General features: G+C 41.5%; 1 protein-coding gene and 1 pseudogene across 5 annotated transcripts in view, besides 6 other annotated features; one reads left to right on the top strand and one right to left on the bottom strand.

The window, feature by feature from the left end:
- Window positions 139-248: a silencer, noted in NCBI's record as "silent region_15706". NCBI's record gives its function as "represses an Ori minimal core promoter by ATAC-STARR-seq in GM12878 lymphoblastoid cells {active_cell/tissue: GM12878}" and the evidence as "EXISTENCE:reporter gene assay evidence [ECO:0000049][PMID:35858748]".
- SETD7 (SET domain containing 7, histone lysine methyltransferase) overlaps window positions 386-24,679 on the top strand; it is a 63,246-nt gene continuing 38,952 nt past the window's right edge. For 2 of the 5 annotated variants that reach the window (NM_001306199.2, NM_030648.4), the window contains exons 1-3: window positions 386-507; window positions 9,556-9,685; window positions 23,239-23,440. In NM_001306199.2, coding sequence (NP_001293128.1) covers window positions 468-507; window positions 9,556-9,685; window positions 23,239-23,440 — 372 coding nt within the window. In that variant the 5' untranslated portion in view covers window positions 386-467. Of the gene's footprint in view, window positions 508-8,485; window positions 8,587-9,555; window positions 9,686-23,238; window positions 24,041-24,679 lie in introns of those variants that run through there. The other 3 variants (NR_131339.2, NM_001306200.2, XM_017008661.1) reach the window with 3 other exon arrangements.
- Window positions 469-528: a silencer, noted in NCBI's record as "silent region_15705". NCBI's record gives its function as "represses an Ori minimal core promoter by ATAC-STARR-seq in GM12878 lymphoblastoid cells {active_cell/tissue: GM12878}" and the evidence as "EXISTENCE:reporter gene assay evidence [ECO:0000049][PMID:35858748]".
- Window positions 589-758: a silencer, noted in NCBI's record as "silent region_15704". NCBI's record gives its function as "represses an Ori minimal core promoter by ATAC-STARR-seq in GM12878 lymphoblastoid cells {active_cell/tissue: GM12878}" and the evidence as "EXISTENCE:reporter gene assay evidence [ECO:0000049][PMID:35858748]".
- Window positions 889-1,078: a silencer, noted in NCBI's record as "silent region_15703". NCBI's record gives its function as "represses an Ori minimal core promoter by ATAC-STARR-seq in GM12878 lymphoblastoid cells {active_cell/tissue: GM12878}" and the evidence as "EXISTENCE:reporter gene assay evidence [ECO:0000049][PMID:35858748]".
- Window positions 5,008-5,508: an enhancer, noted in NCBI's record as "NANOG-H3K27ac hESC enhancer chr4:140472251-140472751 (GRCh37/hg19 assembly coordinates)". NCBI's record gives its function as "activates a minimal SCP1, AML or CMV promoter by ChIP-STARR-seq in naive H9 embryonic stem cells {active_cell/tissue: H9 hESC(naive)}" and the evidence as "EXISTENCE:reporter gene assay evidence [ECO:0000049][PMID:30033119]".
- Window positions 8,154-8,340: a silencer, noted in NCBI's record as "fragment chr4:140469419-140469605 (GRCh37/hg19 assembly coordinates)". NCBI's record gives its function as "represses an EF-1alpha promoter that drives an FKBP-Casp9 reporter gene in an ReSE screen in K562 erythroleukemia cells {active_cell/tissue: K562}" and the evidence as "EXISTENCE:reporter gene assay evidence [ECO:0000049][PMID:32094911]".
- On the bottom strand, window positions 9,717-10,327 carry FTH1P24 (ferritin heavy chain 1 pseudogene 24; annotated as a pseudogene).

Raw genomic sequence — 24,679 nt, 5'->3', positions numbered from 1 at the left:
TGACGGGCCGGAGGCGGGTTGGCTGGGACGCGGAATACGCGCGGCCCCGGAGCGCCTTTCGTTTTAAGGAGCCTTACTTCTGGAAAGGGACAGGGAACTGTCAATCAGCGAGGGAGGGAGCGCACCGGCGCTGGGTGATGTCAGCGGATCAGCTGCTCGATAACAAAGAGAGGGTATTACAGGAGAAAGTTGCAGCAGCGGCAGCGGCCAAGGCGGCACACCGGAGCCTCCGAGGCGAGGGGCAAGTGGGCGAAGGGAGGGGGGACGACGGCTGCTGCCGCAGCAGCTGAAGGCCAAGGAATTGAAAGGGCTGTAGGGGGAGGCAGTGCGAGCCAGCCCCGACTGCTCCTCCTCTTCCTCCTCCTCCTCCAAACTCGCGAGCCCCAGAGCTCGCTCAGCCGCCGGGAGCACCCAGAGGGACGGGAGGCAGCCGCGCAGCCCCGAGCTGGGCAGTGTCCCCAGCCGCCATGGATAGCGACGACGAGATGGTGGAGGAGGCGGTGGAAGGTACAAGCATTTCTCCGGGGCCGGGGGAGGAGGCGCAGAGGGCCTGGAGCGCGGAAGGAGTGGCGGGCTGCGAACAGCGCGGCGCCGGGCCCCGCGGCCGCCACTGTCCCCTACACGGGTGGCCGGTTGCCCGGCTCGGGCGGGGGCCCGACAGCCACGGTCACGCCGCCGGGAGCGCGCACTGCGCGGCGGGGCGCAGGCCGAGAATGGGGCTCCGCCAGGCCGGGGGCGCTGGAAACGCACGGCCGCTCCATCCCGCCCGGCCACAGCCTGCATCCACCCTCGGAGTTGCGAAACCTGCCCCGCGCTCTGGCCTTTCCGCCTTTGGGCGCGGAGGGTGGGTGCACTCCGCAGGGCAGCCCCTTGAGGCCGGCGGACTCCGCGGAGCAATCCCCTAGCCCAGTTTTGGCCACCCCGATCCCCTCCCGGCCGCCAGCCCTTCCCTTCTGCTGCCTCTGCGCCCCGCGGCGGCCGCGGCCCCGTCCGGGTAGGTCCCCCGGCGCAGCGCACGGGGCCAGACCAGGCACGTGGCAGCCGCGGCCCAGGCGGCAGCTCTTCCGAAAAGATGAAATCATTGTCGGGCGACGGACAAGTCTCCCGACCCGGGACTCGAACGTGCGCCGTCCGGGAGGCGGGCAGCCCTCCCCTCAGCTGCCCCCGAGCGAACTCAGTCAGGCCTCCCCCTCCCCCTTCCTGCTTGGCTGGGATGCAGCCGCCACGCTGTGCAGGCGCGCCGCGAGTCCGCACCGAGATTGCTGGGTGACACTTAACTTTCTGAATTCCATGCCGTTGGCTGTGGGTGATATCACCGCCTCAGTGTCGTGTTTCTCCGCCCCTTCTCTTCTACCGCCCCTCCCCCGACTTTTCTCGCCACTTTGTTTTGCTGAGTTTCTCCACCTTTTTTTTTTTTTTTTTGTTAGTTCTGAAAAAACGATGTGGGGACGTTATACAATCTCGTTGTTTGTATCATAGGATGTTATGATTTTGTAACAGCGAATACTGGAAAATACTCTTTAGCGTATTTATTTGGTTCCACTCCATACAGTACGTCGTGATGTTTTTCAGTGTGGTGTGGTATGATACCAGAATGTTTTAAACTAAGCATGTGAGTAAATAATTTTTAGCTGTTGGTTGAATCTGGTTTCTGTCTGATTTGTATAAACACAAGTTCTGACGAAGGATAAAGAAAAAAAGTGGCGACACTACAAATGCATAAGGATACATGGTTATTGTTACACTAGGGAAAAATCAGTTTTAATGTTTTCATAAACATAACTCCCTTTGCAGTGCTTCTGAGATCTTAAGGGGAGATTAAGCAGACTAATATTTCTGAACTCTTGAAAAGTATCCAATGTAATGCCAATATTAAAACTTATTTCTTCATCTAACTTCGAAGCCAATTAAAGACTGTGGTTTTTGTTAAGAAAATTTTCACCATGTTGTGAACTCACAGAGCTATTTATCTCTCTAATAAATAAAGCCAATGTTGGGGCTTACTGGAGTGAGGCCCAGATACATTGATTGAGTTGATCCACAGGGAGCCTTCTGAGAAGTTAAAAGTTGTTGACTTCTTGTGCCTCCATGTTGTGAAAGATAAAGGAAAAATGATCTCAGATTGTTAGGGCTTGCTCTCTTTCTTCAACGTTTACTTTTACTTGTAAAAATTAAATACAAACCCTTAATTGCTGGTACTGTTCTCCATGTTAAACCACATCCATTCCCCTTTGAAGCTGTTTACAAACATATGTCCAGTTGTCCATAGTCCTCAGGCTCCTTTGCAGACTGTGACCAAGAGCTTTAGAAATGGCAGTATTGTTTTTTGAGAACATCCACTGGATTCGAAAACAGGGAAGTTCATATAAACAGGGATGGTTTTGTTTTATAGGGTAATTATGTACATTATTGTCCAAAATCAGAACCCCCTTGAGAATGAGAGGGCACACTATTAATAATGATGCTGGGGCAGGTAGCTTAAGCCTTGAATGTCTGGGGCAATCTGGGACACATGGTCACTCAGTTGTAGCTAACTAAACAATTAGAGCAGCACAGAATCTTTAAAAGCCCCTAGAAGCATCTCAGGCTCTAACTTGCACAGTGCCAGGAGTGTGTGTGTGCACATGCAGTAAACCGTACCTGTGCGTGCACTCTTGTCCAGCCATTCTTGGCCTTTTTAGTGCTGTTTGCAATAGTCTTTACATAACATCTAACACTTACATAGGGGACTGGTATAAACTGCTTCTGTTCTTTCCCAAAGAGAAGCTAGTCTGAATATCTTAGTGTTTAAGTACCAACTAATCTACCTCTTTCCATAAACAGAGCCTCTGTTCTCAGTAGTTTCATTGTCATAGCTATTATTATCATTGCTATAATTGTTTAGTTCTTATTAAGTGCAGGCTCTGTGCTAAGTGTTTCACAGACATTATCCATTCAGTCTTATTCAGTCTTATGAGGTGGGTACTAATATTATCCTAATTTTACAGAGGCGGGAACTGAGGCATACAGAAGTTAAGGACTAATCCAAGAACACTCAGTGAGGTGGAGAGACTGGCTTGGACTTCCAAAACAGCCCTCCACCAGACCAAACTGTCTTCCTACATTTTTTATTTTTAATGAGTTAGTCAAATTTATGAAACACTTGATAACTGAGTTTGGAAGCAACAGTTAAATATTATGTCAGTGCCATTTTTTATCAGTGTAACTCTGTAGAGGTTGGTTCTGACAGAGTTCAGTGACTTTCAGAAAAATGTATTTGGGGAGAAAGAACCTGTGTCCTCTGCAATAGCTATCTTTTTTCTTCTTCATTAGAGATTTACTCTGGGGAAGAAATTAGTCTCTTCAGGATTGAGTTTAAATGTCTTATATATCATGTGCATTTGGTTCTCTGTCAGGGTATGATTGTAACTCTGGGAAAGTTCTGAACTCAGAGTGGACAATTCCCTGAGGTGAGGGGAGTGGCGGAGGCTGTGTCGAGAGAGTGTTCTGTGTACTGTGTTGGCTGTGCTCTTGTGGGAAGAAGGCAGCAAGCCCTGGGCCTCAGAGGACCTCAGAGCTCCACCTGAGCTCTGGTGTGGCTTTTGGAAAACACTTTGAGACACACTGGTTCAGTGAAGAGTGATGTTTAGTTTTCCAGTGTTATTCCCCTGGGCATCTGGAAACAGAAATTTATCACAGCATCTATTTCTTTGTCTACCCATAGATACAAAGATGAATATGATGTGGTCTCTAATATGATTTCAAATAAATATATCTATACAGATGAATTGTGATGGTTGAGAGGAAGTAAAAATTAGTTCCAGCTTAGGGAAGTCAAAGGGGAAAGATTTTCCAGAAGAGGTGCCATAGAGCTGAGTCAGGTTGAGAGGGGAACTTTGTGAGTGAAGACACGGAGGCATGGAATTCTGCGGGTGCACCCAGAGAACAGTCATTTGATTTTGCTGCAACATGGAGCTTACAAGGAGAAAAGTGGAGGGGAAGACAGGGAAAGGAGGCTGGGTAGCAGGCTGAGAGCATGGACTGTGTGCTGGAAGCCATGGAAGCCGTGGGGGCTCTTTAGAAAAGGGAATGACAGGATCAAGGCTCCACTCCGGGAAGAGGAACAGGCAGTGGCCAGCAGGACAGTCAGAGGGGCTGACACAGCAGATGAGGTACCTTGAAGTCTCTTTGCAGTGGTCCAGATGCACAGTTATGATGGCAGGAAAAACAGAAGGGCCTGGAAATGTGTAGGAGACATGGAGGAAGAATGATCAAAAAGGGGAAATATCAGAACAAGGGGCCAGAATGAAAATAAGCAGCTCAGTGTTCCACTGCCACAACCCCTTCAAAATATTAAGAATATTTTTTATTAACACTCCCCCTAATATCAGATTCTACTTGTCTCTGCTAAGAGTGCTCATGCCCTGTATCTAGGGAAAATGCATATGAAGTGTATTTGTAGCACCCTTTCTGTGTGGGCCACACATTAAAATCATGACCCTCACAATTAATAGATGAACCCTTGCCAACAATTACCCTTAAAAAAAATTATCCAGGTAACAAACTTTCATATGTACCCCCGGATCTAAAATAAAAGTTGAAATAATTTTTTAAAAACCTAAAAAATTAAAAAATTTTAAAAAGATCAAAACATCAAGTTATGTTTTTAAGAGTTGGTGATTGAATGCATCACCAGGAGGGCATGTTCTTTGCATTAAACAGAATAAGCTTGCCTTTTATTATTGTTGTTTTTTGTTTTTCAATTTATTTATTTATTTAATGAGATGGGGTCTCACTGTATTGCCCAGACTGGTCTCCTGGGCTCAAGAGATCCACCTTGGCTTCCCAAAGTGCTGGGATTACAGGCATGAGCCACCGCGCCCGGCCTATTAATTGTTGTTTTTTAAAGCAATGTTCTAGTGTACAAAACCAACAGTGTGTGCGTAGGGTCTCTGGTTCTAAGGGAAATACTCACACGCCACTCTCAGATCTCTTGTGAGTAAGCCTGAGACATTAAGCAGCTGGGTGTCTGATCCAGAGGGAATTTACTTTGCTGAGATTGAGATGTACATTGCTGCTTAGAATATAGGCCTGGCTCTTATCAGATTCAGGAAGAAGCTCCCTCAGAAGTAACTAGAGGGGAAAATTGTAACTTTCTATCTGTTCAATAGATAATGACCATAGAATAAAGTGAAAAAGTAGACTTGTGAACTGATACTTTTTTCCTTTCTCTAACTTCTGTAAATATTTAAAATCATGCTACAGACAGATACACAGAACATTAGCTCCGGCAACCTTAAAAACACAGAGCAGTCATTCAAGTTAATTTTCCCTGTTGCTTGGGCCTGGTATTCACCCTCTGTTCAGTGGGAACTCGCCTGGAAGGCTGTTGGCTGACTTGGCGCATTTTACAAATTGACCTCATGCAGAGCAAGGAGGACTAGTGTTTCCCTTCAAGTTAGATAACACTTGGAAGAGATAGGACTTTGCAACCGGGACATGCTGTTGGAAACCTGGTGGTTCTGTGTGAATGATCTTAACCACAAAGCCTTCTTCCACTTCCCTGCCAGGGACCTGGGGGTTCCTACCTTTTTAGAGGTACCTTCTTACCATCACCAAGGAAGAGTGTGTTCAACTAGTTTGCCAGTGTCTAGAATGGGAATTAAAGGATTTGGAGAAGGGGCTTTCAGTATTCATCAGCACACTCAGTGTGGCAATGTCTCTTGGGCAAGTCTCATAAAGCATTGGTGTCTTCATCTGTAAGATGAGAATATGGGAGACTGTTTTGAGGCTTACATTTGATAACAGGAAAGCATATAACCCAATGCCGATCATAGTAGATTCATACACTTTTTTTCTCCTCTGTTTATCAGTACCCCTGTGCATTAAATTGACTTACTGACATGACAAAATATTACATGATCTTATTGTCCAAATATTAATGATCTTATTGGCATTTGAAAAAGTTATGTCAGATTCTGTTCTAGCACTAATGTTGAAAGAAGATGTAAGAGCACTGCAACCTAGTCTCTTCTCTTTCTCATGGAAAGTCTCTGTTATTGTTTTGGTTGTGGCTGCTGTTTTAGACATAAAGTTCTACTGCTAGGAAAACTAATCCGGGATATTAAATATTCAGAGTGGAAGTCTCGAATGATCACAACCCTTAATCTCTAGTTCCTTTAATTGATCACACCCTAGGGATGTAAAGAAAACAAAACAAGCCAGGAAGAGGCTCCTGCTGTCGTCGAATAGATTTCAGAATTCTCTCACAACCAGCAATCTAAAAGCCTTCAGAATGATAGGGAGTGGTCACATGTCCAAGCACCTCCTTAATGTGCAAGGTCACCAGAGTAATGGCCATCATTTGGTAGCTCTCCCCTGACCTTGTCTCTCCCAAGAGATTAAGATGATGATAGGGCTCCTCTTCATTTGCCTGTTGAAAGGCACTGAGGCCAGGTGTGGTGGTTCTTGCCTGTAATCCCAGCACCCAAAGTGGGTGGACCACTTGAGCTCAGGAGTTTGAGACCAGCCTGGGCAACACAGTGAGACCCTATCTCTATAAAAAAAAATTTTTAATTAGCCGTTTTGGAGGCTGAGGTGGGTAGATTGCCTGAGGTCAGAAGTTCGAGACCAGCCTGGCCAATATAGTGAAACCTCATCTCTACTAAAAATACAAAAAAATAAGCTGGGCTTGGTGGCAGGTGCCTGTAATCCCAGCTACTAGGGAGGCTGAGGCAGGACAATTGCTTGCACCCGGGAGGCGGAGGTTGCAGTGAGCCAAGATCGCACCATTGCACTCCAGTCTGGACAAAAAGAGTAAAACTCTGTCTCAAAAAAAAATTTTTTTTTTTAAATTAGCCAGTTGTGGTGATGTCTACCTATAGTCCCAGCTACATTGGAGGCTGAGGCAGAAGGATCACTTGAGCCTACAAGTTGAGGTTACAGTGAACTATGGTCTCATCACTGCACTCCAGCCTGAGTAACAGGGTGAGACCCTGTCTCTAAAAAATAAAGGAAGGAGGAAGAGAAAGAGGGAAGGAGGGAGTGAGGTAAGAAAGGAAGAAAAGGAGAGAAGGAGGGAGGGAGGCAAAAAGGGAGGAAGGAAGGAAGGAATAATTCTTCATGGAGTGGAGTTGACATTTTTGTTGTCATCTCAACTGGGATCAGTACTATCCTCCAAGGGCTTACAGTATGTTATATGACACTTTCAACTTTCCCTAATATCTAAATTCCATTGCTGAGGGTGCACCTTCAGTGTTTTATTCAGAAATAGCACAGGGCTGAAGGAAGGTGGAAATTAATTTATATTGGACATTTTTTTCTTAGTGTTCAGATTTATTGTAATTCTCTCAATCTAAAGTGGAATAACACATTTTATCAAACATAAGCTTTTAAAACTCTGAAATATGTGAACTGTTTTCTATGGTGAAAGCATTTTCAACAAGTTAATAAATGCTCTAGTATGAGGCTAAACTGATTATTTGGATATTAATACCTAAATCAAAAGTAGGACACTGAATTTATATGCCTAAATTTAACTTGATCGCAACAACATTTCACTAAAAAAAGCTCTTAGCAATACACTGAGTGGCTTTTTTTAATGAAAAGAAAAAAGCAAATTTAATTTATTTCAATGAGAGAAATGGCATCAGATATTTAGAAAATAATTGTCCAAGTGATTTCATATGACTCAAATGTCATTGAATTTATGTCATGTACAATTAGTTTTTGAGCGAGAAGAAAGCAATTATGGCCTAGTTCCCTTCTGACCATTAATTTCCTGGGCCTTTCCTCTTTTGTGTTAAGAGGAAGGGATCCATATTGATTATGATTTATTTAAGTAGATGTGTCTTATTGTAAGATGTTCTAGGTAACCCATTGTATACAGAGTCAGATGTAGCAATAAAACACTGTAGTTGTTTGCAGCTATTTTATGTTTATGTAATTAATGATACAAATAAAGAGCATATTTATTCTTTTTATTGTTGTTGTTGAGATGGAGTTTCATTCTTGTTGCCCACGCTGGAGTGCAGTGGCACAATTTTGGCTCACTGCAACCTCTGCTTCCTGGGTTCAAGCGATTCTCCTGCCTCAGCCTCCTGAGTAGCTGGGATTACAGACGTCCGCCACCATGCCTGGCTAATTTTTTGTATTTTTAGTAAAGACGGGGTTTCACTGTGTTGGCCAGGCTGGTCTCAAACTCTGGACCTAGGGTGATCCACCCACCTCAGCCTCCCAAAGTGCTGGGATTATAGGCGTGAGCCACCATGCCCGGCCGCATATTTATTCTTTATAAGAGTGTGTACTTACCATCTTTTCCAAGGGCTAATATTCTTTTATCATGTTAGAATAAATTATTTGAGGAGACTAAAGCTTTCACTGTGGTAGTATGGTTTGTGTTGCCTTTTATGTCTGTGAGCCATCTGGAAGCTACATTTCAATGTTTAATGTCCCTGCATTAGACACAGTGTTTAATGTTTTCATACCTTTTCTCTCCATGACCCAGGTTATTACCCCAAGAAAAAGCCAGTAGAATAACTACTGCCTTCATTTTCACCCACCTCTGCAAAATCAGCTCACCAGAATGATTGGGAAGACACCAATAAGGTGATTCCTGGGTTTTGTAAAACATGTAGATAGTAATAAAAAGCATAAACATTGACTGTAAATGTCAGTATTAAACTATACCAATCTTTGACCTAGGAATAACCAGTGACTTAAAAGTCCATGTAATAACTTCTGCTGATGTTCACAATCATTGCTTAAATGACCATGTGCATACTCTGGCTCCATTTAAAACACAAGCCCTCTGAGACACAGTGGTGGACGGTATAGGATAAGGTTATTACTAAACATTCAAAGCTGAAAGATTTTGTAAAGTAAACCAGTAGGTTTAAGGTTAAGCTTAAGTTTAAGGTGAGAAGGACTCTGGGTTTCTGTGTTTGTACAATGAGCTATATAAATCTTAGGGCAGTTTTAAAGATATGACACTGTTCCTTGTGTGAATATAACAATAACAGTGAGATTTTCAGACTGGCTAGCAGTCCTCCACATCATATTATAGAATGATGTATAAAATCATATTGCATACTTAATGTTCTAGAATTAGATAATTTATTCCAAAGACTGTGTATGTGGCAATTGACTATAAAACAGTGGAATCTCAACCACACTTCAGTTAAGCATGAGAGATTGGAGGCATCAATTCCAAATATGAGGACTCTCGGGAGAGTACTTGGTAAATTGTGACATGCCCTGCAGATAATATTACTGATAATGACTCTCAGTTCCAGGTAAAAAGCAAGCTTATTTAAAGTTCATATTCTGGAATGTGTCTAAGTCTGTTCTGGACCTATCAGTTCACAAAGTGTACATAACAATCAATTTGGTACTGCTGGTGCCGATGAGGTGAGAAACTTTTGCACGCTGACTACCCTTTCTTTCCAGGGAGGGGACCCTTTGGCAGCTGGAGGGGAGTTGGGTGGGGGACTTGTCTGGCAGCATCTGAATGCTTAGACGTCAGATGGGAGGAGCACTGAAGATGTTAAGGTTTGCCTTGTGGTTCCCTTTCTCCAGGGCACCTGGACGATGACGGATTACCGCACGGGTTCTGCACAGTCACCTACTCCTCCACAGACAGATTTGAGGGGAACTTTGTTCACGGAGAAAAGAACGGACGGGGGAAGTTCTTCTTCTTTGATGGCAGGTAGCACTCACAGTTTTATTTTGTTCTTTGGGGGTACCGAATTATTTTATGTTAAGGACTAATACAAACGAAAGAATTCAAGTGGAAGTTTTTCTACAATTTATTCAATGGGTAAAATTAACCCCTACCTGTAGGCACTGCTTTGGTGACTGGGGAAGTCACCCTGTGGTTATGGGACAGCCAGCCTAAGGCTTAGCTCTTGTCATCACTGTCTCCCAGAGTGTGCTTGGCCAAAAGATACCAGATTTGGGGGCCCCCATCTTGCATAAGTTGGTTACATGGTCACCCAATTCTTTGATGGATTTCACTTGATCATTCCGGTAGCGCATCTCCCTGAAGTCACACAAGTGGGGATCGTTTTTGTCAGTGGCCAGTTTGCACAGTTCCAGTAAAGTCAGATTCACACTTTTTTCCAAGGGTCACACACACTCTATTGCGTTCAGCACACTCTCCCAGATGTCACAATCTGGCATCTTAGTACCCCGAAGCAAGATTCTGCCACCTTGTTGGTTCTTCTGCTTCATCGGTTTCTCAGCTTGTTGCCTCTCCTCATGAGATTGATGAAAAAATGCTTGGCAAAGTTCTTCAAAGCCACATCATTGCAGTCCCAGTAATAAGACATAAACAGGTACACACAGGAGGGCAACTCTCTAGACTTCAATTTTTTAAATGCCTGTCTTTGGGATAGTTGGTCTTTTTGTGTGATAATTTAATACTAATGTCAGAACTATGATTTTCCACAGTGTACCTCTAGTTACAGTATTTTTCACAACAGGATTTCTTTTATTTTACTCTCATCCCCTGTCTGAGGACACTGAGAGGGAGAGGCTCCTTACTCGCTTGTGATAGATAGGAATGACTATAGGACGTTTTTCTTTCAAGAAGAGATGGGGTTGCCCAGGCCCAGCTTCCCAACAATGACTTTTAGGCCCTGTCAGCTTCAGGAGCAAAGAGTGACCATGTGAATTTCTCAAGCATTTAGTGGAATTCAGAGCCGCAAAAGGGCTAGCTATTTTCAGACCCGTTGGTTGGGTAAAATGGAAACTGACTTCACCAAAGCAGGTTATAGGATTCTGTAGGATACCGCACCACTTACTAAACTCCTGACATTGGTAATAGGCCAGAGCTTCCTTTGGGAAAGAAAATGTCTAAGCTGACAACTGAAGGGTGATGTCAGGGACTGGTATGTGACCCAGAATCCCTTTTCTGCAGGCAAAGTGCGTTGTTTTAAAGGGGGTAACATTTCTCAGGCTCTCAATGATCTGATGCAATGAGGGGTGAGAACAGCAATAAAAACCTTCTAAATGACTTTTGTAAAATTTCATTTTAATTATAATTCCAACCTTCATTTCCCCGTTGCCCCCAACCCCACCTTTTTGTAAAGCAGAGTTTTGCTTACAAACTGTAAATTTTAAATTGTCAGATATTTTACTTCCTTTCTTTTGGGTGGATACTTGAGTGCCATAGAGGCCCATTTCAGTATGTTGGTATTGGCCTGGGCATGTTGGCTCACATCTGTAATCCCAGCACTTTGGGAGGCTGAGGCAGGAGGATTGTTTGAGCCCGGGAATTTGAGAACTGACCAGGGCAACATAGTGAGACCCTGTCTCTGCCACGAGGTGTAGAGACCTTGGGAACTGTGGTCCCAGCTGCTGGGGAGCTGAGGCAGGAAGATTGCTTGAGCACTCCAGCCTGGGTGACAGAGCAAGACCCTGTTTCAAAAAAAAAAAGTTGGTATCACTGCTTTTCTTTCCTATGACTCTTTTAACCTATCCAGAGGGAAACTTTTCCTGCCCCATTTCCACTGCAATTTTTTTATAGCTCTTTTTTCTGAAAAGTGTCACTTTTAACCTTATTCTGCAAATTTTTTTATTCGTTCAACAAGTACATATTTATGTAAATGTCTCCTTCATCTCCAAGGACAGAGGTTTCCTTGAGGGCAGAATCTGTGTCTATTACATCTTTTATGCTTCATAGCACTTTCTCTTAATTTGATACTAAAAAGAAGTCCTTGCTAAGTGAGAGTGGGAGCTGAAAGAGAGGGTAGAATTCACCCAGAACACCCCCTCCGCCTCCCCCTCCACACACAAACACACACACACACACACACACACACACACACTTTAAATCTGGTAGTTTGATGATGATAGCCAGTAACTGATTGACTCTGGGAAAACAGTCCAGCAGATTTGTTTGAATTTGGTGTTGGTTACCTGCTTGCTTTATGGGGCTGATACACAGAGTACTGATGGGCTAGACTAAAATTCTGAACCAGTGTGCCGAGAATGAGCTACTTGTTAGCTTCAAGATGCTGATCCCCTCAGCCCTAGGGTAAGATAGCAAAGTGGGGCCTGAGACTTCCTGGGCACCTGTCTTCTCATATCCAGCTAGTAACTTCTAGCCCCAAACAGCTTCATCCGCTTACCCCAGTGTGTCAGACAAATGCATTAATTTGCAGGTGTGTCACGATATGAACAAGCTGAAGCACCAGGCCAAGTGGCAGCACTAGCCCAGTAACTATCTATAGGCTAGAAATACATTCATTGATTTTTTTTTTCCTTTTGAGGCACGAATTCACCATTCTTTTTATTTTATTTTATTTTATTTTATTTTATTTTATTTTATTTTAGATGGGTTCTCACTCCGTTGCCCAGGCTGGAGTGCAGTGCCATGATCACAGCTCACTGCAGCTTCAACCTCCCTGGACTCGGGTGATCCTCCCACCTCAGCTTCCTGAGTAGCTGTGACTACAGGTGCATGCCACCACACCAGGCTAATTTGTTTTGTATTTTTTATAGAGATGGAGTTTTGCCATGTTGCCCAGGCTGGTCTCAAACTCCTGAGCTCAAGTGATCCACCCGCCTCAGCCTCTCAAGTGCTGGGGTTACAGGCGTGAGCCATTGTGCCCAGCCTAACCAATTCACTAATTTTTGTTTGTTTGTTTGTTTGTTTGTTTGAGATGGAGTCTTGCTCTGTCTCCCAGGCTGGAGTGCAGCGGCGCGATCTCGGCTCACTGCAAGCTCCGCCTCCTGGGTTCACACCATTCTCCTGCCTCAGCCTCCTGAGTAGCTGGGACTACAGGCGCCCACCACCACGCCCGGCTAATTTTTTTTTTTTTTTTGTATTTTTTTAGTAGAGACGGGGTTTCACCTTGTTAGCCAGGATGGTCTTGATCTCCTGACCTCGTGATCCGCCCGCCTTGGCCTTCCAAAGTGCTGGGATTACGGGTGTGAGCCACTACGCCCACCCAATTCACTAATTTTTATATCTACCACTCAAACACCAGTGGAGATGTTGATTAAATAGAATCAAGGAAAAATAGTGTTAGCGAGGACCTCAAGAGATTATCTTGGTTATCTTCAGATAGACGGGAGTTAATATCTTAAGGGGAAAATGTCAGTATCATTGGTTTTATTACACATGATGGAACAGTGTGGTGACAGGATCTCAAAAGGTCGTCCTCATCTTCTTAAACCCAAATACTGATCATGTTACGAGACATCTGCTAAAAGGATTTGCTGTAAAAATTAGTAAGAGAGTCTTACAACTGAATAAAAGGTCGAGAATCTACCAGGGTTTTCTAAGGCAGATGTGGGATTTGATTATGGATAAGTCAGTTGTTTCTACATGAAGCAGTTTTTATTTATATTTGTCTATTACTTTTTCTCCCTGTTCCCATCCCCGGCTTTTAGAGCTTGATGTGTTGGGTAAAATTAAGTGGGAATGCTTTGCCTTTATTGTCAGTCATCAACCTTTGGTCTGGAAAAATTCCTTAAGAAAGGCTGGCATTAGGTTTTGAATAACAAGCGAGGAGACAAAAACTTTGTATTGAAGAAAGTTGTTGAAACCTGTTATGCTGATTTGTGTCCCCATCAAAGAGTTTGTCTGAAATTGTGGGAACCCATGTTCCGACAAGGAAAGAGACAAGGAAAATCACAGTGTAGTAATGGAAGACTTGGCCTAAATATTCTAATTTTATATGAAAACTGAACCCCAGAATATGATTTATGAGAAGTATCCAAACAAATATAAACATATCAAGAAAATTATAGAATCAGTGTTTCCCTTGACATCGAATGAGATAAATCTGAATAAGAATTTCAAATATCCAGATAACTAGGAAAAATAGCCCTGTGAAATTTTAAAACCAAATTTGTAAATAGAAGCAGAATATTTTATTTTATTTTTAAATTGCAAACATAACAAATGCTTAGTGGAATAAAACAAAACTTCAAGAAATTCAGAAATGTGAAAGTGCTCCCCCCCGCTTTTTTTTAACCCCAACCCATGCCATAGAAGTAATTACTATTGGCAGAGAATTTGCACATCTTAACTAAACATATTCAAGGTAAAATATAGAAATAGGCATTTTTAAAGTTTTATTTTAATTGACACATAATTCTACATTTTTCTGGGGTAAAGTGTGATTTTGATACATAAACACATTGTGTAATGATCAATCAGGGTAATTAGCATATCCATCACCTCAAAGATTCATCATTTCTTTCTGGTGAGAACATTCAAAATCCCTTCTTCTAGCTATTTTGAAGTATACAATATATTACTGTTGACTGTAGTCACCCTGTTATGTAATAGAACACCAGAACTTATTCTTGCTATCTAACTGTAACTTTGTACCTGTTGACCAACCTCTCCCCATCCTTCCCTCCTGCCTTCTACTCCCCAGCCTCTGTTAACCACTGTTCTGTTCTCTACTTCTGTAAGATCAGCTTTTTCAGATTCCCCACATACAAATGAGATCATGCGGTATTTGTCCTTTTGTGCTTGGCTTATTTCACTTTACATGATGTCCTCTAGGATCATTCATATTGTCACAAATGACAGGATTTCGTTTTGTTTTTATGCTGAATAGTATACCATTGTGTACGTATATACCACATTTTCTTTATTCATTCATCTGTTAATGGAAACTTGGGTTGATTTCATATCTTGGCTGTTGTGAATAGTGCAATAAACATGGGAGTGCACATACCTCTTCAGCATATGGAAGAAATAGCTATCTATTTCTAAATCAGTTTAAATAGCAAAAATGTACATTGTTTACCTGTTCACAACTGTCTCAGATTCAAAATGTTTGCTAGTTTTGAGATCATAATATTTAGTCTTTTCTTCATTATATGACAAAATGTGGAAGAGAAAAGCTAAGTTACTACAACCAGCTTATTAAGTCAGAAACCTAAAATCAGAATACTCATGCTTTACCAGATGGTTTGCCCTACAAATAAGGAATGAATGAGAACATAACCTTATTTTAAAAATTGTTTTTAAAGTAGATATTGTGTCCATTCCCGCCTCCTCTATTAAAAGGGAAGAAGAAATTATCCTGAGATTCAGTAACTGGGACTTCTTTACATCCACTCGGTCCCGAGATAAAGGAATTGATGCAGCGTGGTGACAGGAATCTTGAGGCTTTGTTGGTGTGGATCTGGAGTCTGTCTGGTACCCGTGGATTTGCTGGAGTACCATGGGGTGTGATGAAAACGTGTAGTGTTCAAAATACTTTGATACACACATCTCTAATTTTTATACTAATCCTAGATTCTGGATGTTTATTTTCATGTATCTTTCTTTAATTGTTCTATTTTGACCATGATTTATGAACCTAAAGGCAAGACTTTTCACAATCCTAGAATGGTGAACAAGAAGGAGATATTTCTTCAGATTGGCTTTGCGGGGGCTATGGAATATTAGGGTCATGTGGTTTTTAGCCTAATTATGAGGTGGAGATGAGGTCATTCATTCAGCTTTATTTGTTTATATTGTTGATGCCTCTCCTTCACATGCCAATTTGATTTTAAAGGATTTACTACTCCACGGCTTCTTTCTCCTGTGCCCAAGTCCTTTTCTGATGTTGCTTGGCTACATTTGCCAAAAGGGCTCCGTGTAATTTATCACTGGCCAAATAACCTGAGCAAGGTCACCCGTCTGATGAGCCACTGAGAAAGGATGGCATTCTCCAGGTGTCAAGTCTATGCAGGATTTCTTGTGTTTAGTTTTCAGAAAGTGCTTGATCACAATTCAGAGAAATTGGAGTTGGATCGGATTTCTGAAGTCATGCATTCCAACCTCCCACATGCGGCAAAAGTTTCTTTTGTGTTCCTGACAGTCCTCTAGCTTTTGTTGGAACCAGACCCAGCAAATATATTCATCTGTATTCCAACAAACAGTTCTGATTGAGGCCAAAAATTTTTGTGACATGCAAGAAGAGAGTGCAAATGAAATGGGTAACATTGAATAACTACCATTTCTTCAACACTGGACACGTGGTCTTCATAACAATCTGGGAGGTGGGTTTTATAATCCCATTTGACATACGAAGAAACTAAGGCACAGAGTGGCTAAATAACTTGCCCCAGGTGACCTAGTTAAAAATGATTGGAGCTGAGACTCACACCAAGGCGAATTCAATTCTAGAACCAACCCTCTTTTTCACTACATCTGCTACCATCTTCCAACTTGAAACAGGGAAATAGCTGTGGGCCTGACTGCCTTTCTTCCATTCTTTAATTTTCCTTGAAGTTACTCATCAGCCATAGTTGTGAAATGTTAAAAGGAGTTCTGGAGTGAATTCAGTTATGTTCTTGTAGGGGCCTTAACAACTTGGGAAGAGCTTGGAAGATTGACAGAAGGTTTTCCTGAGGAATCAATTCAGAAGAATTCTGTTCTAGCTATTTGGCCTCCCTGAACTTCCATTTACTTAATTTGTAAAACGGAGATAATTATACCTGCTTTTCAGGATTGCTGTGATTGAATGAGAAAACCTGTAAAGACCCTTAAAGTGTAGGACACTCAGAAGGTGCTTAGGGGAAAAGATGGATTATTTTATCATTGTTGTTGTTACTATTATTATTAATAATTATTAGGAGAGTGTCTTAGTTTGGGCTGCTACAACAAATTCCATAGACTGGGTGGCTTAGACAACTGAAATTTATTTCTCACAGTTCTGGAGGGTGTGAAGTCCAAGATCAGGGCAGCAGTACACTTTGTGTCTGTCGAGGGCCCACTTCCTGGTTTGTAGATGTCCATCTTCTCCTGATATCCTCACATGGTGGAAAGTAAAGGGAGAGAAAACAAGCTTTCTAATATCTTTTTATAAGGGCATTAATCCCATTCAAGAGGGCTCTGCCCTTGGGACCAAATTACCTCCCAAAGGCCCCACCTCTTAATACCATCATATTGGGTGTTAGGAGTTCAACACAGGAATTTGGGGAGACACAAACATTTAGTCCGTAGCAGAAAGTTTTCTTGAGGTTTGTTTTTAGAAAGCAAAACTAAATTTCATTATTCACTCTTCAAATATTTTACTGTTACTTTGAGGCTTTGTAATAATTAGATCTATAGTAGACTCATAGATCTTTTCTTAAAGGATAGAAAAAGAAAACCTTCAAAGATAGACAGTATGTTATATTATATGGAAGCATTAGAGTTCTCCATCAAACTTGCTCCAACACCTTGGGAGAAGTTGAAGTTTCTGGCTGGAAATAGTTCTAGCAGATGGGTTGCATCTCCTTGTTGCTGCTCTTTGCTTAGTTTGCAGTGTTTCAAAAGATAATATATATTGTCATATAAAATAATTCCTAAAATAATGTATATACTAAGGGTCACAATTCAATTTGGTTAGAGATGGGAGTTTAAGGAGTGATTATTCATTTTTAAAATTTCCTCTCGGTTATTGTATTGCTATGGCTGACAAAAGGAAGGGAACACAGTGGAAGGAAGGGAACAGAATTTAGGCCCCAGGAGGCGGAAGGTCCAAAACCTAGACCCCAGAACCATGAAGAAAAGCCAAAACTGTTAAGTCTCTAAGAACAGTTTTCTATATTCAAACACTAACAGGAATTTTTAATGAAAATACAGCAATATCTGAATAAAATGCAGATATGTAAGTCTAGGAAAACAACTATAAAATTTATCCATTTCTTTGTAAGTTAGATTTCTTAACTGATTTCTCGAAATTTAACTCTTAAGTACAAGAGGTTGGATAAAACAGGAAAAATTGATCTATGTGCAGAAAAAGAAATTTAATTAAAATTTATGTTTTAATTTCCTCAACATTTTCCAGTTTGATTCAGATGATGGTACCAGGAAAATCAAACAATTGCAAGACCATTTTTGTAATTTCTTAACATACTAAAGAATTTGCCAAGATGTTGAAAGGAACTTTAAGAAAATACAAGTTAAGCATGTTAAGAACATTATGTATAGTATGATCCCATTTTTATTAAAATAACAAAAACAGAAGGTAGGAAAATGCGTGGTATAGAAATGAAAAGAGTGGCCAGGAGCGGTGGCTCACACCTGTAATCCTAGCACAGGCTGAGGCGGGTGGATCACTTGAGGTCAGGAGTTCGAGACCAGCTTAGCCAACATGGTGAAAGGCATCTCTACTAAAAATACAAACATTAACCAGGTTTGGTGGCACACACCTGTAATCCCAGCTACTCAGGAGGCTGAGGCAGGAGAATCGCTTGAACCCAGGAGGTGGAGGTTGCAGCAAGCCGAGATTGCACCACTGTATTCCAGCCTAGGCGACAGCAAGACTTCATCTTAAAAAAAAGAAATGAAAAAGTCTTAAATACTGTATGTGAAATTGGGGAAGAGGACTGAGAATTTCTACTTTCTGCATCTTAGTATTGCTTGAATTGCTTTTTATGTGTTTGTTTTACAATGAACACATATTGCTTTTTTTTAGAGGTATTTATTTTCTTCCAGTCAATTGGATCACTCATAAATTACTGCAGATAGGAATTTTTCTTGCTTGTTCTTTAAAAATAGATTTAATGCAGTTTTATAAATTTCTTTATTTCAGTGTTTCATAACTGTTTCTTTGATGATGCTTTTTTTTGATGATGCTTTTTAAACCCAGTTTTTTAGTAGAAAGCTTGCCATCATACACATGAATATGCATGTTTAATAATAATAGCTGCTCTTTATTTAAGCAATCACTATGTGCCAGACCATATTCTAAGCATTTGATATATATTAACCCATTTAACCGTTATAACAACACTCTGAGTAGTCCAGTTTACAAATGAAGAAATGAAGCATAGGAAGTTTAAGAAACTTTCCTCACGTACAGCCTGTATGCATATCGAATTCATATAAGAATGCTCCCTGCACTTGAATAACACTGTTATGTTCCTTCTCAATCTTCTCTTCTCAATGCAAAATGATCCCAGTTTCCATTTCTATTCTTTTGCTTAGGAATTATCAACATGAAGTTTATATGTTGGGGGGATACGTGGATGCATATTTCCTAATTTGTTCCCATAAAGGGCTTACAATCTAGTTAGAGAAATAGGACACGTAAATTTAACATCGATAAAGACATGGAGTGTTCTGTAATAGTACATGCCTAGGCTCTGATGAATAATGTGCATGGCAGGGCTGCCAAGATCAGGATAGATTTACTTTGTAGGAAAACAAGGTTCCCCGCGGATGATGAGTAGGCTCTGTTTAACACAGTGACCAGCAGACTTGCTCTGAAACCCAGCTCTCAATCCAATTTCACCAAGAAACATTAGAAGGCTATTTCTATGTACCCACTTTTCAAATATGACCCGATATTAACATTTTAATGGATACAAGTCTCGCTCTGTTGCCCAGGTTAGAGGGCAGTGGTGCAGCCAGGCGCGGTGGCTCACACCTGTAATCCCAGCACTTTGGGAGGCCGAGGTGGGCAGATCACTTGAGGTCAGGAGTTCGAGAACAGCCTGACCAACATGAAGAAACCCCGTCTCTACTAAAAATACAAAATTAGCTGGGCGTGTTGGCGCGTGCCTGTAATCCCGGCTATTTGGGAGGCTGAGGCAGGAGAATCACTTGAACCTAGGAGGCAGAGGTTGCAGTGAGCCAAGATTGTGCCGTTGCACTCCAGCCTGGGCAACAAGAGTGAAACTCCATCTCAAAAAAATAAAAAATAAAAAAGATTGCAGTGGTGCGATCTCGGCTCGCTGCAACCTCTGCCTCTTGGGCTCAAGCAATTCTCGTGCCTCAGCCTTTCGAGTAGCTGTGGTTACAGGTGCCTGCCACCATGTCCGGCTAATTTTTGTATTTTTAGTGGAGACAGGGTTTCACCATGTTGGCCAGGCTAGTTTCAAATTCCTGACCTCAGGTGATCCTCCTGCCTCGGCCTCCAAAGGGCTGGGATTACAGGCATGAGCCACCATGCCCAGTCTATTTTTTTTTTAAGACAGAGTCTCGCTGTCACCCAGGCTGGAGTGCAGTGGCACAATTTCAGCTCACTGCAACCTCTGCCTCCTGGGTTCAAGTGATTCTTGCACCTCACCCTCCTGAGTAGCTGTGATTACAAGCATGTGCTACCACCCCTGGCTAATTTTTGTATTTTTAGTAGAGCTGGGGTTTCACCATGTTGGCCAGGGTAGTCTTAAACTCCTGGCCTCAAGCGATCCACCTACCTTGGCCTCCCAAAGTGCTGGGATTACAGTCATGAGCCACTGCACCCATTGGCTTCTTTCTTTTTTGATAGAAAAATGCCAGAGATTTCAGAGTATTCATTATTAGTCCATGATTATTTTTGTTTTCAATGAAGAAAAAAGAAAAGAAAAAAAATCATAACTTTTTTTCCCCCGGCTGGCCTTAAGGATTTTAAAAGTTTGCTCCCATATGTATTATGGAAAGCAAGGAAAAATATAGTGTGGAAGCTAAGCTAAATAAAGGTCAGTGAGTAAACTTTCGATATGAGCAGAGCTTTTTAGAGCAGGGATTAGCAAACTTTTTCTGTATGTGGTGAGAGTAAAATCGAGGCTCCGTGGGCCACATACGGTCTCTGCTGCAGCAATTCAACACTGCTGTTGTAGTATGAAAGCAGCCATAGATGATGTAGAAAGGAACATGCATGGCTTTGTTCCAGTAAAACTTTATTTACAAAAGCAGTCAGCAGGCCATAGTTTGCCAGCCTCCTCTGGAAAGAACAGTTAGAGAGAAAGGTAGTGCCTTGAATGCCAGTCTAAGAAACGTATATTTTATTTCCTCAATGACAGAGGATTTTAAAAAATCACTTTTATCACCCTGGAGAACCCAGTTTATGTGTGTAATATGCCCTCTTTTGTCATCAGATTTCATCTAACTTACTATTAAAAGTTGCCAAGAAAGCTAAGCTGTGGCCTCAAGCAGATGGCTGAAAAAATAACGCAGTAAGATTTGCTTTCCAATGCCTTAAGAGTTTGCATTTGTGTACTTTGAGTCAGTTGGGCTAAGAGGGAAATAGCAGTTTGTTCTTCGTACTCTGATAGATGGGATGATGGGCTCCATGGGTAAGGGAGGTTAGGACAAGCCACTGAATACAGTTGGGGGAAATGTCTGCAAGTCCATATTATTTTTTGTCTGATTTGCAAGACCTGTTTCTTGTAGATTTGATCATAACCCTGAGAAATATTGGCAGACTAGTCTGTCAGGGAGTAATATTCTACCCAAACTCACACAGGAACATTTTGAATGCTGCTGAGAGTCCAAAGTCAATAGGGTTGCCAGGATGAGCAAATAAAAATCTAGTTAAATCCAGGACACCCAGTTAAATTGGAATTTGCTCAACAAAAAAAGTAAGTATAATTATATCCCATTCACTATTTGGGACATTCATAAACTAAAAAATTATTTGTTGTTTATCTGAAATTCAAACTTAGCTGGGAATCCTGTATTATACCTGGCAATCCTAAAAATGAAGATAAATGAATAGTTTCTTGCACTACATAAATTACATCATTATGTCACTTGATTAGTACCCTTCACCAATGATTTTTTTTTTAATTGTGGGAGTCTAATGACAGTTGAATCTCATTACTTCCAACCTCACTGTTTTAGAATTTTGATTATTTATGCAAGAGCTATGCTAAAGTGCACTTTATTCTCTTCATGAATTTAGGAAGCCTATTTGTCATTGATAGTACAAATAAAACTGAAAGAAAACTATTTATCTCCTTGGGATACTACAAATAGTATAATTACCTTTTAACCAGAAGCTATCATTATTTAGAATCTGCTTTTCATTTAATAATTATAGATCATTCACAGTTGTTCATTGAAATAAGTCAAGACTTTACCAGACAGAGTCAGGTGCAGCCACCTAAGTCCTGATGGCCCGCTTTGCGTCCCATCTGCTCCAGTTCACAGTGTGTCTTGCCAGTCTCTCCTATACCATTGTGTTTGTTTTGTTCCTTATCCGCTCTAGAGCCTCACACAATGCTTGCTACTGAGAAGGCACACTGTAAATGTTGACTAGTTGTGGCTGGGAGGCCGAGTTGGGTGGATCCCTTGAGCCCAGGAGTTCGAGACCAGCATACGTAACATGACAAAACCTCATCTCTACAAAAAAAAACAAAAATTAACCCGGTGTGGTGACACATACCTGTGGTCCCAGCTACTTGGGAGGCTGAGGTGGGAGGATGGCTTGAGCCCCAGGAGGTCGAGGCTGCAGTGAGCCATGATCATGCCACTGCACTCCAGCCTGGGCAATAGAGCAAGATCCTCTCTCGAAAAAAAAAATTACTAGTTGAATTAATGAATAAATACTCTCTGCCTATGTTAAAATAATCAAGCTGTCTTTGTTTCAAAATTTTCTTACATTTTAAATTTTAAAAATAATTTGAGTTGGTCTTTCCCTATTCCAAATTTTAGTACTTAAAGGGAATTTTGGGTGTTTCATTGCATAGGGCCTTTCAGAGGATAACAATGAAAACATGTTCCTGAACTTGCAAATATATATTACAAGGAGAGAGATGGAGAAGTGCTGGTAAAATCACGTGAGCATCCCTGTGAGCTTTCTTCTGGTATAGGACCGTGGGTCTCAAACTATCAGGATGCTAATGATATCAGCAGGGTGGAGCATTCAGTCTTCCTTACTTGCCCCTACTGGCCATGATCATGGATGTATGTATATACATAGATATACATACATACATACATACATACATAGATATATAGATATACTTAAATAAATCCCCATATGTCTTCCAAGGAGATGGAAGGGATTTCATTTGACTGGATACCAATTACGGCTATTAATGATAAATAATACATTAGTGACTTGAAACAAATGTGTAGACATTCACACACTTTAAGCCACATTTCTATCATTAGAGATTACTATATACAAGCCATCTGAAAGACCCTTGAGAACTACCAGTGAATTCTGGAGCACTCTTGAGGGAAATTAGACATGAATGGTTTGCTTGTGGAACAGGTAACACCAGAATTTCTATTGCCTGAAAACATACTCAAGTGAACTTGTTCTCAGTTTCCATCAGTAGCTTTTTTCTTCTCTATTTTCTCCAGCAGAGTAAAAGGATTCCCAGGAACCATGAGATTGGGTATTAAATCTCCGTCTTTCTTCTCAGTCTTACCCACGTCCATGAAGCACCTTTTCCTAGCAGTCGATGATAATTTAGGAGGCTGCGCTGAATCCATGTCAGGGCTGACACAGCTGGGCATGCAGTTCCTTGGATATGATCCTTTCTTCTAAGAGAGTCAAGTCATGGTCTGACTATTCCTTTTTGTTTTTCCTTTCCTCACAGCACCCTGGAGGGGTATTATGTGGATGATGCCTTGCAGGGCCAGGGAGTTTACACTTACGAAGATGGGGGAGTTCTCCAGGGCACGTATGTAGACGGAGAGCTGAACGGTCCAGCCCAGGAATATGACACAGATGGGAGACTGATCTTCAAGGGGCAGTATAAAGATAACATTCGTCATGGAGTGTGCTGGATATATTACCCAGTAAGCCGTGTGACTGTTCACTCTGCTGGAAAGTAACATACTGTGACTCTTCACAATGAAGAGTAAAATGTATTCTGTGTTAGAACTTGGGAGCTGTGAAACCTGAGAGTCACCACAGCTGACACCAAGAGTTTATGAGGCATGCCCTCTCACTGTTACTCACTATTGGCTTAGATTGTTGGCCCTTGAATCCGTTATTAATTATTTTTCAGCGTTGTTTTGGAAAGGAGTAATTAATCATGATTAAAACAAATTGAGACAAATTGGTTTTATTGTATCACTAATAAAGGCAAAATATATTGCTTTTAATTCTTTTGGCACATAGAGGGAGATAGTGGAAATTTTCATTGTTGCTATTAGTTTTATTTCCTGTTTCTCATATGTAAAAACCAGTCCAGCAATTTTTAATTTGGGAGAGCTTACTGCACTGTTGTTACTTGATTCTACAATTCCACTAACTGCTTTTTAAGGTATTTTATGGTTTATATTGTTTAAATTAAGGTGATTAAAATTAACTTACCTTTGAGTATTTGATAGCATTTTATGATATTTCTGGAGTCTATTAAAGTAAAAAGATATGGCAGAACCCATGGTTGGAAATTAATGCTCTAATTTTTGTTTGCATTTCAAATGTCCCATCTGTTGTTACTGAATTTCCAGAAAATGTTACAGAAAATACACCTTAGAAAACACTTTATCTTTATTTTATTTTATTTTTTATTTATTGAGACAGGGTCTTGTTCTGTTGCCCAGGCTGGAGTGCAGTGGCACGATCTTGGCTCACTACAACCTCCATCTCCCAGACTCAAGCCATCTTCCCACCTCAGCCTCCTTAGTAGCTGGGATTACAGGCCTATGTCATCACATCTGGCTAATATTTTTGTGTTTTCTTTTTTGAGACAGGGTTTCTCTAAAACCTAGTCTCGAACTCCTGGGCTCAAGCAATCCACCTGCCTTGGCCTCCTGAAATGCTGAAATTACAGGCATGAGCCATTGCACCTGGCTAGAAAATATTTTGCTTAATACTTTATTTTGTTCATAACTTAAGTCAAAATACTCTTTTTTTGTTTTGAGACAGAGTCTTGCTCTGTTGCCCAGGATGAGGTGCAGTGGTGCCATGTCGGCTTACTGCAACCTCTGCCTCGTGGGTTCAAGTGATTCTTCTGCCTCAGCCTCCCAAGTAGCTGGGATTGCAGGCACAGGCCACTACGCCCGGCTAATTTTTTTGTATTTTTAGTA

Source organism: Homo sapiens, chromosome 4, assembly GCF_000001405.40.
Source record: "Homo sapiens chromosome 4, GRCh38.p14 Primary Assembly".
Taxonomy (NCBI): Eukaryota; Metazoa; Chordata; class Mammalia; order Primates; family Hominidae; genus Homo; species Homo sapiens.
This window is presented reverse-complemented; position numbering and strand designations above follow the sequence as displayed.